The sequence below is a fragment of the Homo sapiens genome, chromosome 9 (genome assembly GCF_000001405.40).
Source record: "Homo sapiens chromosome 9, GRCh38.p14 Primary Assembly".
NCBI lineage: Eukaryota > Metazoa > Chordata > Mammalia > Primates > Hominidae > Homo > Homo sapiens.
Genome location: NC_000009.12, coordinates 5,229,966 through 5,247,552, shown reverse-complemented (window position 1 = coordinate 5,247,552; position 17,587 = coordinate 5,229,966). Strand labels below are relative to the sequence as shown.

The following is a 17,587-nucleotide window of genomic DNA, read 5'->3' as shown; positions in this document are numbered from 1 at the left end:
TAAGTGTAGCCACCCCTGTTCTTTTTTGGTTACCATTTCCATGAAATATCATTTACTATCTCTTCATTTTCAGCCAATGTGTGTCACTAAAGATAAAGGGAGTCTCTTGTAGGCAGCGTAGAGTTGGGTCCTAATTTTTATGGGATCTAATTAAACTAAAGAGCTTCTACAGAGCAAACGAAACTATCATCAGAGTGAACAGGCAACCTACAGAATGGGAGAAAACTTTTGCAATCTATCCATCTGACAAAGGTCTAATATCCAGAATCTACAAAGAACTTAAACAAATTTACAAGAAAAAAGCAAACAACCTCATCAAAAAGTGGGTGAAGCATATGAACAGATAGTTTTCAAAAGAAGACATTTATGCGGCCAACAAACATATGAAAAAAACCTCATCATCACTGGTCGTTAGAGAAATGCAAATCAAAACTGCAATGAGATACCATCTCACGCCAGTTAGAATGGCGGTCATTAAAAAGACAGGAAACAACAGATGCTGGAGAGGATGTGGAGAAATAGGAATGCTTTTACACTGTTGGTGGGAGTGTAAATAAGTTCAACCATTGTGGAAGACAGTGTGGCTATTCCTCAAGGATCTAGAACCAGAAATACCATTTGACCCAGCAATCCCATTACGGGGTATATACCCAAAGGATTATAAATCATGCTACTATAAAGACACATGCACATGTATGTTTATTGCAGTACTCTTCACAATAGCAAAGACTTGGAACCAGTCCAAATGCCCATCAATGATAGACTGGATTAAGAAACTGTGGCACATAGACACCATGGAATACTATGCAGCCATAAAAAAGGATGAGTTCATGTCCTTGCAGGGACATGGATGAAGCTGGAAACCATCATTCTCAGCAAACTAACACAGGAAAAGAAAACCAAACACCGCATGTTCTCACTCATAAGTGGTAGCTGAACAATGAGAATACCTGGACACGAGGAGGGGAACATCACACACCAGGGGCTGTCGGGGGTTCGGGGGCTAGGGGAGGGATAGCATTAGGAGAAACACCTAATGTAGATGACGGGTTGATGGGTGCAGCAAACCACCATGGCACGTGTATACCTATGTAACAAACCTACACGTTCTTCACATGTATCACAGAACTTAAAGTATAACTTTAAAAATTTCATTCGGCCACTCTGTAACTTTTTATTGAAGAATTTAATGTGTTTACATTAAAAGTAATTATTGATAGGTAAGAACTTACTATTACCAATTTGTTCATTGCTTTCTGAAAGTTTTGCCGTTCTGTTTTTCAGTTCTTCTCCTGCTGTCTTCCTGTGTGATTTGATGAAATTTTTGTAGTTGTATGCTTTTATTCCTTTCTCTTTGTCTCTTGTGTTCCTACTACACGTTTTTTTTTTCACCATGAGGCTTATAGCTTGTATACACTATCTTATAGTTGCAGTAATCTATTTTAAGCTGAATACAACTTAACTTCAACTGCATGCAAAAATTCTACTCTTTACTTTCTCTTCCCCTGCTACCTATTTTATGCTATTAATGCCACAATTTACATCTTTTATATATCTTGTATGCATTAACTATTATTGTAACTACTGAAATTTTTAACAGTCTTGACTTTTAACTTTTATATTAGAGTCTAAAAACTTATGCAATACTATTATAGTATTAGAGTATTTTGAATTTGACTACATTCTTTCCTTTACAATATGTTTTCATGTCCATAGTTAGAGTACTTTTGCTACAAGTTGTAGAAATCCCTTTAGCATTTTTTGTAAAGCATATCTAGTGGTGATGAATTCTCACAGCATTGTTTGTCTGGCACAATCTTTATCTTGCCTTTGTTTCTCAAGGACTGGCTTGCCTGATATAGTATCCTTGGTTGACTGTTCTTTCTTTCACCACTTTGAATATATCATCCCACTCTCTCTTGGCCTGCAAGCTTTCTGCCAAGAAATCTGCTAAACTAATGGGGGTTACCTTGTATATGATCAATTGTTTTTCTCTTGCCACTTTGAAAATCCTCTCTTTCTTCTTGACTTTTGAGAATTTTCTTTTTTGTGTATCTCAGTGGACATCTATTTATATTTGATCTATCTTGGGTTCTCTGGACTAAGTGGATCTGAATGTTAATGGCTCTTTCCAGATTAGGGAAGTTTTCTGTCCTCAAATCTCTAAGTAGGTTTTGTGCTCCTTTCTCTTTCTCTGCTCCTTCTAGGACTCTCATAATTTATATTTTGTTTTTTTATTTGATGGTGTTCCATATGTCTCATAGATTTTCATCACCTTTTTCCTTTCTTTTTTCTTTTTGCTCTTATTGTGTAATTTCAAATGACCTATCTTTGAGCTCACTCATTATTTCTTCTACTTTATCAAGTCTGCTGTTAAAGTTCTCTATGAAGTTTTTCACATTAGTCTTGTGTTCTTCAGCAGCAGCATTCTGTTTGGCACCTTTCTATGGTTCCTATATCTTTGTGGAATTTCTCATTTAGTTAATGTATTGTTTTCCTGATTTTGATCAGTCATCTATCTGTATTCTCTTTTATCTCATTGAGCTTCTTTAAGATGACTGTTTTGAAAACTTTTTCAGGCAGTTCATAGGTAGCCCTTTCTATAGGGTAGGTTACTGGTGGTTTATTTTGTTCCTTTGGTAGTATCATATTTTCCTAATCAGTCATGATCCTTCTGACCTTTAGTTGGTGCGTGTACATGTGAAGAAGTAAGCACCTCCTCCCATCTTTACAGATTGGATTTGGCAGGAAAAACCCTTCATCAATCAGCCCATCCAGAGTTTCTGGGCAGGCCATCTGAGGAGGTCCATGGGCATACTTGTAGCAGGAGTCTGCATGTGGGCTGACTTGATGCTTGAGTCAGTGAATGGGCAGGCCTAGAACTTGAGTCTGTGGACAAGCCTGAATAATGAGAACATGGGTATCTGCCTGGAGATTGTGTCTGCAGGGTTGGTTCTGTAGCTGAGTCTGTGATGGTTGACCCAGCACTAGAATCCACTGAGGTTGACTTGGATCTTGGTTTCTCTGGAGCTTGTGTCTGTGGAGACCAGTCTGGAACCTGGAATGGGCCTGGAACTGAGCAAAGACTGGTGCCTTGGATGATGGGTGCTGGCCTAGATCTGAAATCTGTAGTTGCTGGTCTGCAGCCTGGGGCAAGCCTAACACCTGGGGCCTTAGCAGCACTGGGGCTGTTCTAGAGTCTAGACATAACTGGATTCCAAATCTTTGTGGACTGGCCTTCCAGCCGGAGCTGTAGGGCTGGCCATGTTCTGGAGCAGACCTGTAGTTTGAGATTGGAGGGGCTGACCAGCAGCCTATGACCTGTAACTAATTTTTTCATGTTGATTTTTGTATTATGCATCTTTGCTGAGTTCATTTATTACACTAACTTTTTTTGCATTGAATATTTAAGATTTTCTGCATGTAAGATCATGTCTTCTGCAACCAAAATATTTTACTTTTCCTTTTTTAATATTTATCATTTTTATAATTTCTTCAAACTTATTACTCTGTCTAAGACTTCCAAAACTATTGAATAGAAGGGAAAAATGAATATTCCGGTCTCCTTTAATGTACAGGAAAAGATTTCAGTATTTTACTATTGAGTTTGATGTTGGCTGTGTGTTTTTCATGCTTTTGTCATGTTGAAGAAATTTTATTTGGTTTGTACATTATTGAATTTTTTTATGAAAGGCTGTTGGTTTTGCCATTTTTTTGTAAATGAAGTCAATCAGGTAGTTATTTCCCTTAATTTTACACATGTGGTATCTTATATTGATTTTTTTTTCATGTTGAACCTTCATGCTTTCAGGAATAAATTCTACATAACCTGATATATAATAGCCTTAAAATGCTACTAAATTCAATGTGCTCTTGTTTGAATATTAGTTTTTATGTCAGTATTAATAACAGATATTGATCTGTAGTTTGTTTTTCTTAACAGTTTTTGTCTGAGGTTGGTGTGACATTAATGATGACTTCATAGAATTTAGTTAGATAGTGATCCCATGTCTTCAAAATTGTGGAAGAGTTTGAGAATGTCTCTGTTAATTCTTCTATGAATATTTTGTGAAACCACTCTTGTGAATTTTTTGTATGCGTTACTATAATGTTCAGTTCTTGCATTTCTGTTTGTTTCCTTTCTATGATTTTTATCTTTGTTGATATACTTGTTTTGTTCATGTATCAGTTTTCTAATTTCTTTTAGTTGTTTGTCCACATTTTCCTTAGGCTTTTTTAGTATATATAAGACAGTTGTTTTAAAGACTTTTAGTAGTGAATCCTTTCCCCATTGCTTGTTTTTCTCAGGTTTGTCAAAGATCAGATAGTTGTAGATATGCGGCATTATTTCTGAGGGCTCTGTTCTGTTCCATTGATCTATATCTCTGTTTTGGTACCAGTACCATGCTGTTTTGGTTACTGTAGCCTTGTAGTATAGTTTGAAGTCAGGTAGTGTGATGCCTCCAGCTTTGTTCTCTTGGCTTAGGATTGACTTGGCGATGCGGGCTCTTTTTTGGTTCCATATGAACTTTAAAGTAGTTTTTTCCAATTCTGTGAAGAAAGTCATTGGTAGCTTGATGGGGATGGCATTGAATCTGTAAATTACCTTGGGCAGTATGGCCATTTTCACGATATTGATTCTTCCTACCCATGAGCATGGAATGTTCTTCCATTTGTTTGTGTCCTCTTTTATTTCCTTGAGCAGTGGTTTGTAGTTCTCCTTGAAGAAGTCCTTCACATCCCTTGTAAGTTGGATTCCTAGGTATTTTAGTCTCTTTGAAGCAATTGTGAATGGGAGTTCACTCATGATTTGGCTCTCTGTTTGTCTGTTGTTGGTGTATAAGAATGCTTGTGATTTTTGTACATTGATTTTGTATCCTGAGACTTTGCTGAAGTTGCTTATCAGCTTAAGGAGATTTTGGGCTGAGACGATGGGGTTTTCTAGATAAACAATCATGTCGTCTGCAAACAGGGACAATTTGACTTCCTCTTTTCCTAATTGAATACCCTTTATTTCCTTCTCCTGCCTGATTGCCCTGGCCAGAACTTCCAACACTATGTTGAATAGGAGCGGTGAGAGAGGGCATCCCTGTCTTGTGCCAGTTTTCAAAGGGAATGCTTCCAGTTTTTGCCCATTCAGTATGATATTGGCTGTGGGTTTGTCATAGATAGCTCTTATTATTTTGAAATACGTCCCATCAATACCTAATTTCTTGAGAGTTTTTAGCATGAAGGGTTGTTGAATTTTGTCAAAGGCTTTTTCTGCATCTATTGAGATAATCATGTGGTTTTTGTCTTTGGCTCTGTTTATATGCTGGATTACATTTATTGATTTGCGTATATTGAACCAGCCTTGCATCCCAGGGATGAAGCCCACTTGATCATGGTGGATAAGCTTTTTGATGTGCTGCTGGATTCGGTTTGCCAGTATTTTATTGAGGATTTTTGCATCAATGTTCATCAAGGATATTGGTCTAAAATTCTCTTTTTTGGTTGTGTCTCTGCCAGGCTTTGGTATCAGAATGATGCTGGCCTCATAAAATGAGTTAGGGAGGATTCCCTGTTTTTCTATTGATTGGAATAGTTTCAGAAGGAATGGTACCAGTTCCTCCTTGTACCTCTGGTAGAATTCGGCTGTGAATCCATCTGGTCCTGGACTCTTTTTGGTTGGTAAACTATTGATTATTGCCACAATTTCAGATCCTGTTATTGGTCTATTCAGAGATTCAACTTCTTCCTGGTTTAGTCTTGGGAGAGTGTATGTGTCGAGGAATGTATCCATTTCTTCTAGATTTTCTAGTTTATTTGCGTAGAGGTGTTTGTAGTATTCTCTGATGGTAGTTTGTATTTCTGTGGGATCGGTGGTGATATCCCCTTTATCATTTTTTATTGTGTCTATTTGATTCTTCTCTCTTTTTTTCTTTATTAGTCTTGCTAGCGGTCTATCAATTTTGTTGATCCTTTCAAAAAACCAGCTCCTGGATTCATTGATTTTTTGAAGGGTTTTTTGTGTCTCTATTTCCTTCAGTTCTGCTCTGATCTTAGTTATTTCTTGCCTTCTGCTAGCTTTTGAATGTGTTTGCTCTTGCTTTTCTAGTTCTTTTAATTGTGATGTTAGGGTGTCAATTTTGGATCTTTCCTGCTTTCTCTTGTGGGCATTTAGTGCTATAAATTTCCCTCTACACACTGCTTTGAATGCGTCCCAGAGATTCTGGTATGTGGTGTCTTTGTTCTCGTTGGTTTCAAAGAACATCTTTATTTCTGCCTTCATTTCGTTATGTACCCAGTAGTCATTCAGGAGCAGGTTGTTCAGTTTCCATGTAGTTGAGCGGCTTTGAGTGAGATTCTTAATCCTGAGTTCTAGTTTGATTGCACTGTGGTCTGAGAGATAGTTTGTTATAATTTCTGTTCTTTTACATTTGCTGAGGAGAGCTTTACTTCCAAGTATGTGGTCAATTTTGGAATAGGTGTGGTGTGGTGCTGAAAAAAATGTATATTCTATTTAATAAATGGTGGTGGGAAAACTGGCTAGCCATATGTAGAAAGCTGAAACTGGATCCCTTCCTTACACCTTATACAAAAATCAATTCAAGATGGATTAAAGATTTAAACGTTAGACCTAAAACCATAAAAACCCTAGAAGAAAACCTAGGCATTACCATTCAGGACATAGGCGTGGGCAAGGACTTCATGTCCAAAACACCAAAAGCAATGGCAACAAAAGCCAAAATTGACAAATGGGATCTAATTAAACTAAAGAGCTTCTGCACAGCAAAAGAAACTACCATCAGAGTGAACAGGCAACCTACAACATGGGAGAAAATTTTCGCAACCTACTCATCTGACAAAGGGCTAATATCCAGAATCTACAATGAACTCAAACAAATTTACAAGAAAGAAACAAACAACCCCATCAAAAAGTGGGCGAAGGACATGAACAGACACTTCTCAAAAGAAGACATTTATGCAGCCAAAAAACACATGAAGAAATGCTCATCATCACTGGCCATCAGAGAAATGCAAATCAAAACCACTATGAGATATCATCTCACACCAGTTAGAATGGCAATCATTAAAAAGTCAGGAAACAACAGGTGCTGAAGAGGATGTGGAGAAATAGGAACACTTTTACACTGTTGGTGGGACTGTAAACTAGTTCAACCATTGTGGAAGTCAGTGTGGCGATTCCTCAGGGATCTAGAACTAGAAATACCATTTGACCCAGCCATCCCATTACTGGGTATATACCCAAAGGACTATAAATCATGCTGCTATAAAGACACATGCACACGTATGTTTATTGCGGCACTATTCACAATAGCAAAGACTTGGAACCAAGCCAAATGTCCAACAATGATAGACTGGATTAAGAAAATGTGGCACATATACACCATGGAATACTATGCAGCCATAAAAAATGATGAGTTCATGTCCTTTGTAGGGACATGGATGAAATTGGAAACCATCATTCTCAGTAAACTATCGCAAGAACAAAAAACCAAACACCGCATATTCTCACTCATAGGTGGGAATTGAACAATGAGATCACATGGACACAGGAAGGGGAATATCACACTCTGGGGACTGTGGTGGGGTCGGGGGAGGGGGGAGGGATAGCATTGGGAGATATACCTAATGCTAGATGACACGTTAGTGGGTGCAGCGCACCAGCATGGCACATGTATACATATGTAACTAACCTGCACAATGTGCACATGTACCCTAAAACTTAGAGTATAATAAAAAAAAAAAAAACATTAAAAAAAAAAAAAAAGACTTTTAGTAGTGAATCTGATGACTAAGCTTCTTCAGGGGTGGTATTCGTCCAATTCCTTTGTACATTTGGATGTGTCATATTTCCAGTGTCTTTGTATAACTTTTGATTTTTTATTAAAAATGGGACATTTGAATAAACAGCCACCTATCCTAGTCTTTGTAGATTGATTTGATATGGAGCTTACTTATACATACCCTAGTGACCAGGCCAAGTGAAAATTTAAAGCCTTCTGAGATCTTGTCTGAGCATGTGTGATGCCTGGGCATTTGTGTTATTTTCTCCATTCCCCAGTTTACACAGCTGCATTTGAATGCCTTAATTACCCACAGAGTTTTGTACCTCTTCTCCTTGGTCTTTAAATGGCCTATTGCATGTATCCATCTGTAATTCTTGCCCAGACAGCTGTGTGTGTGTGTGTGTGTGTGTGTGTGTGTGTGTGTGTGTGTGTGTTCCTGTGCTCTCCCCACATGTTTTATGACCAGTGCTCACTGATTTTTCTGCCTAAAATCCAAGCTAGGGGAAACACAGTCCTGTCATTCAGATAGCCTTCAACTCTACACAAGAATTTGAAAATGAGGTTTACTCTGCTCCCTTCGCTTTGGGAGAGGAAACTAACAACTGGGCTGCCATCACTTCCAGACCAAGATTATTGCTGCACCAGTGGTGTGGGAAGGGCAGGAAATTATTGCAAAATTGTTCTACCATCTTGAAACTGGTTTCTTCTTGAGTGACAATTTATTTGGTTGCTGTAAGTCTTTGACTATTTTCTGGAACTTCTATAAGGTTATTTCCAGAGTTTCTGGGTGTTTTCTTATGTTTCTGTAGGAGAACAAGAGTTGGAGCTTCCTAGTCTACCATCTTGCTGACATCATTCTCTAAATTTTTAAATTGAAAAATAAAAATTGTAAGATGATATTTTAAAAGAGGTATACATTGTGGAATGACTGAATTGAGCTAATTACCATATGGTTTATCTTACATAGTTTTTTTGTCGTGAGAACACTTAAAATCTACTCTCTTAGCAAATTTCAAATATGCAATACTTTATTAACTTTAGTTACCTTGTTGTACAGTAAGTCTCTTGAACATCATTCTTCTATCTGAAATTTTGTATTCTTTGACCAACATCTTCCAAATTCCTCTTTCCACTGAATAATGTGCTAACCAGTATTCTACTTTCTCCTTCTGTAAGTTTGAGTTTTTTAGATCTCACTTATAAGTGAGTTTAAGCGGTATTTTTCTTTCTGTGACTGGATTATTTCATTTCAAATAATGTCCTCCAATTTCATCTATGTTGATGAGTTTTTAAGTTGTGAATACATTGGAAACATGTAACATAAAATTTACCATCTAAACCACTGTTAAATGTCCAGTTCAGGGGTATTAACTACATTCATATTGTTTTTCTTTTAGCAAAACTGAAACTATATACCCATTGAACAATGAATCCCTATTCACTTTTCCCTCCTTGTTTTGGAAAACACCATTCCATGCTCTGTCTCTGTAAATATTAGTATTCTACGTATCTTATATATGTGAAATAATATAATATTCATTCTTCTGTGACTAGCATATTTAAGTATGCATAAAAACCTCATGGTTCATCCATGTTGTAGCATGTATCTGAATTTCTTTCCAAGACCAAAAGCATTTCATTGTATGTATATGTCAAATTGTGTGTATGCATTCACGCATTAATGGATACATGTATTTCTTTCACCTTTTAGGTAATATGAATAATGCTGCTCTGAACGTGAGTCTATAAACATCTAGTTGAGGCCCTGCTTTCAATACTTTGGGATATATAGCTGAAAATGGAATTACTGCTTATATCATAATTCCATTTTCTATTTTGAAGAACTACCATACTGTTTTCACAATGGCTGTACCATTTTACATTCCCAACAACAGTGCACAAGATTTCCAATTTCTACATGTATGTGCAAACACTTGTTGTTTTCTATTATGTTTTTGTGTTCTTTTTATAGTGACCATCCTAATGAATGTGAAATGATACCTAATTGTGGTTTTTGTGTGCATTTCCTTAATGATTAATAATATTGAGCATCTTTTCAGGTGCTTGTAAGTCATTTGTGTATCTTCTTATGCAAGATATATATTCAAGTTATTTTCCCATTTTTGAACTAGCTTGTTTGTTTTCTTGTTGTTTCCAGAGTTTTAATTTTGTGATTATTGTAGGGTCATATATGTCCTGTAAGGAATAATTTACAGAGATTCTGAATGCATTTTACCCAGTTGTCCTCAATGACTATATCTTTTCAAACAATGGTACCATGTCAAAACCAGAATATTGGCCATGATAGAAGCATGATATAAATCTATTTCAGCACCTCAAGCAATCCTTATAGTCACACCTACTACCCACTCGTGCCCCACTCCCTGGCCTTCACCTTGAAAAATTATTCCTATTTTCTATAATTTTGTTCAAGAACATTTTATAAAAAGGAATCACAAAATGTTACTTTTTGTGACCGATGATTTATACTTAGCCTAGTTTTCTTGAAATTTGTCCAGGTTGTTTTGTGTATTAATAATTGGCTCATTTTAATAGATGAGTAGTGTTCTATGATATGGATATACCAGACTTTGTTAAATCTTCATATATGAAGGGCATTGGGGTGTTTCCAGTGTTTCATTACTATAAAGAAGCATTCATAGTTATGTTATAGACATAATGATGGACATTCCATAATGCCCAAGTGTTAACAAAAAATCCAACATTGTTATGGACATTCATATAAATAATTTTGTGTGAATATTTGGTAAAGATCTAGTAGTGAAAGTTTTGGGTTATAAAGTATTTTCATATTTAGTTTTTTTTAAAAAAACTATCAAATGCTTTTCCATTTTCACTGTACCATTTTATATTTACTAGAAGAAATATTTGTGTTCTGTGTCCTCTGAGGAATGGTTTATTTCTAAATAACTTGTAGAGAGAGAATGGAGAGGTAAATTGCTGTGTTCCCTCAGGTATCTTTGGTTCAGCTAGGACCCATAAAAGACATACTGTAGTCATAACCAACATTTGCCATGGTTTGAATGTGTCCCACAATTTCATGTGTTGGAAGCTTACTCTCCATTTTGGCAGAATTAAAGTTGGAGCCTTTAAGTAGTGATTGGGTCATGAAAGCTCTGCTCTCATGAGGGGATTAACCCTTTCATGAATTAAAGGATTGGTGGATTATCAGAGGAGTGAAATGGTAGCTTATATAAAAAGAGGAAGGGGGACCTAAGCAAGTATGTTAGCATGCTCTGGACTTTTGCTGTGTGATACTCTGCAACACATCAAGACCCAGTAGAGATTTCCCATCAGAAAGAAAGTCTTCATGAGATGCCAGGACAGGCTCTGGCACTTCCTACACTCCTTAATTGTAAGAAATAAATTTATTTTCTTTATAAATTACCCAATTTCAGGTGTTCTGTTATTAGCAACAGAAAATGGACTAAGATAATAATCCTTCAGAATATGCTTATAAAAATAATTGTTGCAGATATAATTAGTTAAGATGAAGTCATCATAGCCTGAGTGGACCTTTAAATCAAAATGTCTAGTGTACTCATAAGAAAACAATGTGCACACAGAAACGGAGAGCACACCATGTATGGACAGTGTGGAGGCTGAAGATTGGCACCTGCAAGCCAAGGAATGCCAAAGATTGACAGCAAACCACCAGAAGCCAGTGAGGATTATACTGTACCTGTTACGGAAAGTGCATCATCTTTCTATGTCTAACCTCCAGAACTGGGAGAAAATGTATTTCAATTGCCTTAAGCCACCAGTTTGTGTACTTTCTTAAAGCAGCTGAAGGACTTCATACATCCTTGGAACCACTCTAGGTGCCTGTCCTGCTGTCACTTTAGGGTGTCATGCAGGTTTATAAGCAGTGGGACAAAGAGTGAGAGATATTTCCATCTCCTAAAAATCCTCCTGGAAGCAGTCTTTGGGTATTTCCTGGTTAAGAGATTGAAATGATAGACACCAGATAAAATTATGGAGCTTTCTCTATTATCCTCTTTTCATACCTCTATTTTTACTAAAAGAATAGAATTATGTATAGAATGCATGTGCCAAGAGAAGGTTCAGAGTCAGTCAAGTAACCAGGTAGAAGCTCCATGAAAGCATAATTATTATTTTTTCTCTCCTGAATCCTAAAGTCCTAGAAAACTGATAGACACATAGAGTAAACTCAATCATTGATCATGAATAACGTAGAGACCCAAAATATTGATATTTTATTGATCGACACTACTGTCAAGAAATACACCTTATGCGCTTCTCCCCTTTGTTCTCAAAGAACAATCTAGAGGAGTCTAGGCAAACCAGGTGGTACAGTTCAGACTGTACAGTATAATCTATGAGTTCTGCCCTATGACTCCCATGATCCCTCTTCATCTTCAATAGAGTATTGGTAGGAAAAAGTTCTTTATGAGAGATGTATCAAGATCATGAGCAGTTCTTCCTTACTCCAGGATGCAGCCTAAACCCCATAGCTGCATTGTGTGGAATCGTTTGAGATCCTCTCTCCTGTCTCCATTCCAACCAGATCTTGACAATTCCTTTTCTCCACACCACCTCCTGCCCTGCTGACTCTGGCTGTTTCCACACATGCTATGCTTCCAGGCCTTTGTGCATTTTCCTGGGCTTCTACTTGTCCCTTTTTGCACTCTCTTCTGCTTAGATGTCTTTCAAGATGCAGATCAGCCATCAGTTTCCTTAGGGAAATTTTGCTCTCTCCTCTTACCTACACTGTTCCCTGTATATTTATTCTTTCACATGTTGGCATTAAACACGACCCTGATTCCTGTGGATCATTACAGTCTCTATGATGACCTACAAGTATCATTGCACTTATTATCCTTTGCTTCTCCATGTCCCACACTAGATTCAGAGCACTTTATGGGCAGGCACAGGGGGCTACTCAAATCATGCCACTTGAATTAAGTTTATAGGACCTGATAATGAGGTAGTAGCAGCTTCAGTTAGCCTGCAAACAAACAAACACAACTAGTAGAACCTCACTGACAGAGTATAAAATGTACTCTTTGATTTAGGATTTAGAGACACATAGGGAGGAGGTATGTGTAGCCAGAGGAATGCCAGTATTTGTGCCAATTCACCACTTTGATGAGGGGATGTGGAGTAATGCCAGGGACAAAAGAGGAGTTTATAGAATGATTGAAGGTCTAAAGGCAGCGTGCTGAGAGGCAGGTGGAGGATATGCATTGGGCAAAGTTCTAGGGAGGTCTCTGGGTTTACCCTAGGGTGAACATGCCTAATACCTCTCCCACCAGTTCATTCCTTCACTGCTTTTCCTCCGTACTATGAGCTGATGTTAGAGATGGTTAGATCCTTTATCTCTTACATTTCTTCTAGTGTGAAAAGAGGAAAAATGAAGAGACTTGAGTGAGTGTGTGTGAACGTATGTGTTTATGTGTGTAAAACTTTAAAAATTTATTTCCAGTAAGTTTGTAGTTCACATATTACAGTTATACACATTTTTGTAGTACATGTGATATTTTGATACGTGTATATAATGTGTAATGATCAAATCAGGGTAATTGGGATATGCATCCAAACTAACATTCATCTTTTTTGTGTTGGAATCATTACAATTCTCTTCTAGCTATTTTGGAATATACAGTGAATTATTGTTAAGTATAATTTCCCCATTGTACTATCAACTACTAGAACTTATTCCATCTATCTAACTTCCTCCATTTGGAGAGACTATATTAGTACAGAGCAAGTGAAACATGTGAATACTAATAATGATTCTCATGTTCTAATAAACAGCAATCATTTAATTGGGCATCAGTGAATTTGTCATTGAGAATACATATGAGAATGGATGAGATGTCCAGTCCATGATTACTCTACTATGTACATAATTTAACTGAAGTTCCATCGTCACAAATTACTTCACAACAGAATGGATCAAATCTGTGACGTCCACTTCTCTTTTTGCGGGAAAGTATTATTTTCTTCAATGATGGCTGCCCTTCAGACAGTGGTTTCTTCAGCTCTGGTGACAAATTAGGAATGAATTCTGATGTCGTACCTAAGGCTTGTCCATCTTTGTTGTTGGAGGTTGACACCATTTCTGTGAAGTAAAAGAGAGGAATGAAAGGTGAGGAAAAACATTCATGTGAAAGAGGATCAGAAAAATTATACAATTTGCCTAGACCACAATGTACCCATTGCCTCCATGTAATTAAACACCAGAGAGAATCAGCAAGTATCCTAACATTTCAACAACTTAGCTTACTTAGAGTAGGGCACTTTAAGATACTACAATATTAAGGATATGCTAACTCCTCATCCTGTCCCCTCTATGCACTCTTCTAATGACCCTCTAAATGCCTATACCATACCACTTTTGACTCTCCCTGACACTGTTTTGATTGATAACCTCAATGCATTATGTACTGGATAGCAATAGGGAATTTTTTTTATAATCACAAGTTATTCTAATAGAAAGATTCAGATATTCAAATCTGATCCACATAAATCTATACATCTATATCAGTGGATCTTAGCTAAAAGGCTGAGAAGCAACATACATCTATATGTGTCGACACCAAATGTTAACATTTGTTATCCATGAATACTTTCCATTTTTCTTGTTAAATTTATCTATATTTGTCAAAGTATTTAAATGAGGATTTTCACTTATTTACTGAAAAAAAGTGAAATTTAAATAGAAATTATAGTACAGCATGCTCTTCCTTAGTTTGCATTAGAAATTGTTTGGACTTTGTGGTATTCTTCCCTTATTTTATAGTAAAATGAAACAAGCTCTGACTAATAATGTAAAAAAAGGAAATAACTTTGAAATCGTTATATAAATCACACAAAATCCAAGTGCATTCACTGTGCACGATAACTTTAAACAGAGTCATTTAATGATTTAATGAAGTGTATGCATATGGGTTACAAGAAGCAGTTCTGGAGTCACACATTGCTGGTTCAAAACCTGTGTCATTTGTATTAAATGTAAAACAATGTTTAGTAATTTAACTTAGCTTTTCAGAACTTAATACGACCTATTAGACAGAATATAGTAGCCTCTATCTCTTTTCGAAACTGCCCCTGCTAGTTTTAACTTAGCTGGCAATTTATCTTTATGAATACCTTGTTACTTGGTAAAGTTTGAAAACTATCCTGGTATTGAACTTTCCTCAATTCTGAAATCTTGCTTTTAAAGAAAATGCTTTGCAGTCTCAAATGTTGAAAACACTAATCAAATCAGCTATGATGGTCTGAACAGTGAAATTCCCTTGTCTCTGGTCCCCTTCAATTTCCCCTCTAGTCATCCAGGCCACTTTCTTTCTCTTCATCTCATCTCTCTCAACACACTACAAGAGTAGATTCAAAGAAATGGGAGGCAAGGTGCTCTGTTGGTGTGCATTAAAAAAAACTTTTTTGTAAGAGGACGTTTTTGGTGACATAGACCACTGCCCAGCTTAATGACAAAGGATGAGAGTTATTAAATCTAAGCCCCCTTTATCTCACATTCCAGGAACCTAACAGAGGTCTCAGTGTGCTGCCCCTAGGCCAATAGGTGCATAAACAGAAATGATAATCAGCTCATCACCTCACTGTTTGTCCCCTTTCTTCTTAATTGAAGATGCCTGGCCCAGGCATCTCATTGCAATCACACCTGTTTTCTGGCCTGCCCAGCTTTCCTGGGGGTCTGGGAGTACACCTCACCTCCTGCTGGTGTTTGAGAATAGTCACCTTCTCTGAGGATTCCCTGTTTTCTCCACCCTGTATCTCTGGCTGCCAGGTGGGAAAGGCACCAAGAGCCTCCAAGGTGAGGCTGTTCTTCTGTTTTTCCTGCAGCTTCTCCTCTACCCCCAACTTCCCATGAGATTTCTGGTGAGACCCTTTTAATAAAAGCACATTACAATGAAAAACCACAAACTTGTAGGCACTAGCCACAGTAGAGTCTGAGTTGACTACAGGCAGTCAATGAGATCTGGAGCCTGTTTTTTCAGGCCTCATTCTGATTGTTTGGTAGTCCAGGGCTCTCACCTTTGGGACGTCCAGATTCCAGCAGCCACCCTCCTGGGGTGGTGGTGAATGTCTTCTCAGGCATGGGGCAATATGACAGCAAGTGTTTTCCAAATCGGGGACCACATCCCCTCAGCTCTGCTGCTAGGCTTTCTCTAAGGAGTTGGCTCAGCAGCAGCCAGATTGCTGGCAGATAGGACCGGAACAGGCTGGCCATCCTGGACCTGAACTCTCCTGTTCTGGGTGTTCTCAGCCTTTCTTTAGAGACTTGCTGCTGTAGCCTACCAGACTGTGCTGGTGTGTCCCTTCTGGGCTCCAGACTGCTTTCTGCATGCCTTCATCAGGCATTTATTTGCTTAGGGCTATTACTCAGCTTTTGCGTCAATGGTGTCAGTTCCACCCCTTTCCCACCCACCTACAAGGAACTTTCTCCCTCAGTTCTTATTTAGTCTCCCTACTTGCCCTACCCACACTCTCATATCCCTCTTTGCTCCCAATGTGCTGCTGCACTTTGCTTGTTTTGAATTTGGTTGTTCTACTTCTTTTTCTTAACTTTCCTCCTGTAATACTATTTTTATGCTTACTAAAATAATGGTAATTTTTAATGTCCTTTGCTTAGATGAAATAAAAATAGAACTGACCTGTAAGCTCATTGGCTAGAAATTATCTTAGTTAACATTTGGCATATAAGCTTTTAATTGCGGGGGTCTGTCCCACAGACCCTGACCCAACGACGGATGAATAACATACACTGACACAGATAGTTTGCCTGTCAGTCCAGCTGAGGGTCCGGGCCACCTACAGACACCAAGGAGGGTGCTGTAAAGAGTTGCAGCCGTGGCCCCGATCAGCCAGCAAAGCTCACATTTATTCAGCATAGATTAAATGACGAAGGTCTTGAGTAAACACCACTAGAAGGTAATTGACATTGCCAACCTCCCGAGTAGAGAGCAATTATGCACCCGCGGTTGATCAAAGATTAGTCTTAGGACCACATGAGTAAACAAACTAGATAAACTACATTCATTTGTATCTGTGCCTTAAGCTATTAACTCAAGGTAAGGATTAGGCTGCCTTCAGCCTGATCTATTACTGGAGCTTATACAAACCCCTCCGGCGTTTCAAAAAGGTTTGCGTCTTTTTCTTATAACTATCTGAAAAAATTTTCCCACCAGCCTGACTGAACTCTCACATCTCCCCCCTTTCTGTTCTTTGCATCGGGTTCTGTTGACTTAAGAGTACAGATGTGTGCAGCAACAGGTTTGTTAGGTTTTGCTTTTATTCCGGCTTTGCATCATAGAATTAGCAAATAACGTAAGACAATCATGAGTATAATTAGTAACATTCCTTTCCAGTCAAAGTGTGACCCCCAGGATCGGGGGTATAACCAGGAGAAATGATCTTGCACACCTTTCCATATGGCTGTTTGTTGAGTATGTAGATCTATCATGTGAAGGGATTCTAAAATTTTAGTTTTAAGTTGCTTTACGTCTGCTGTTAAATTGTCATGAAAGTTTCCCCAGAGGTGTTGTTTCACCTCATCCCAACTATGTATTGATTGATTCCAAGGTAAAAATGTGACACAGATATGTTTATGCTCCCAGTCACAGTTTAATTGCTATCAGAATGCTAGGGCATCTTGTCGCTCCCCCACAAATTCCAAGGCAGCCTCGAGGGCTTGCAGACGTGCAAGAATCTCTTGATCTATACCCTGCTGTAAGAGAAGTTCATTAGACACATTTCTGGCCAAATTGTCTACAAAAGCAGCTGTTTGC

General features: G+C 37.9%; 1 protein-coding gene across 1 annotated transcript, besides 2 other annotated features; it reads right to left on the bottom strand.

Annotated features, from left to right (window-relative positions):
* Nucleotides 1-12,248: 12,248 nt before the first annotated feature.
* INSL4 (insulin like 4) lies at nucleotides 12,249-16,134 on the bottom strand. Its single transcript, NM_002195.2, has 2 exons — nucleotides 15,834-16,134; nucleotides 12,249-13,899 (listed from the first exon to the last, which is right to left on the bottom strand). The coding sequence occupies exons 1-2, from the start codon at nucleotides 16,027-16,029 to the stop codon at nucleotides 13,676-13,678; spliced, it is 420 nt and encodes a 139-aa protein (NP_002186.1). The 5' UTR covers nucleotides 16,030-16,134; the 3' UTR covers nucleotides 12,249-13,675.
* Nucleotides 16,040-16,857: a promoter, noted in NCBI's record as "-719/AflII to +95 fragment". NCBI's record gives its function as "promoter in JEG-3 placental cells" and the evidence as "EXISTENCE:reporter gene assay evidence [ECO:0000049][PMID:12606452]".
* Nucleotides 16,512-16,857: a mobile genetic element.

Coding starts and splice junctions, on each gene's coding strand:
- INSL4 (NM_002195.2), bottom strand. CDS start 16,029: ATGGCCAGCCTGTTCCGGTCCTATCTGCCAGCAATCTGGCTGCTGCTG. Junction 13,900..15,833: donor GGAATCTGGACGTCCCAAAG/GTGAGAGCCCTG, acceptor TTTACTTCACAG/AAATGGTGTCAACCTCCAAC.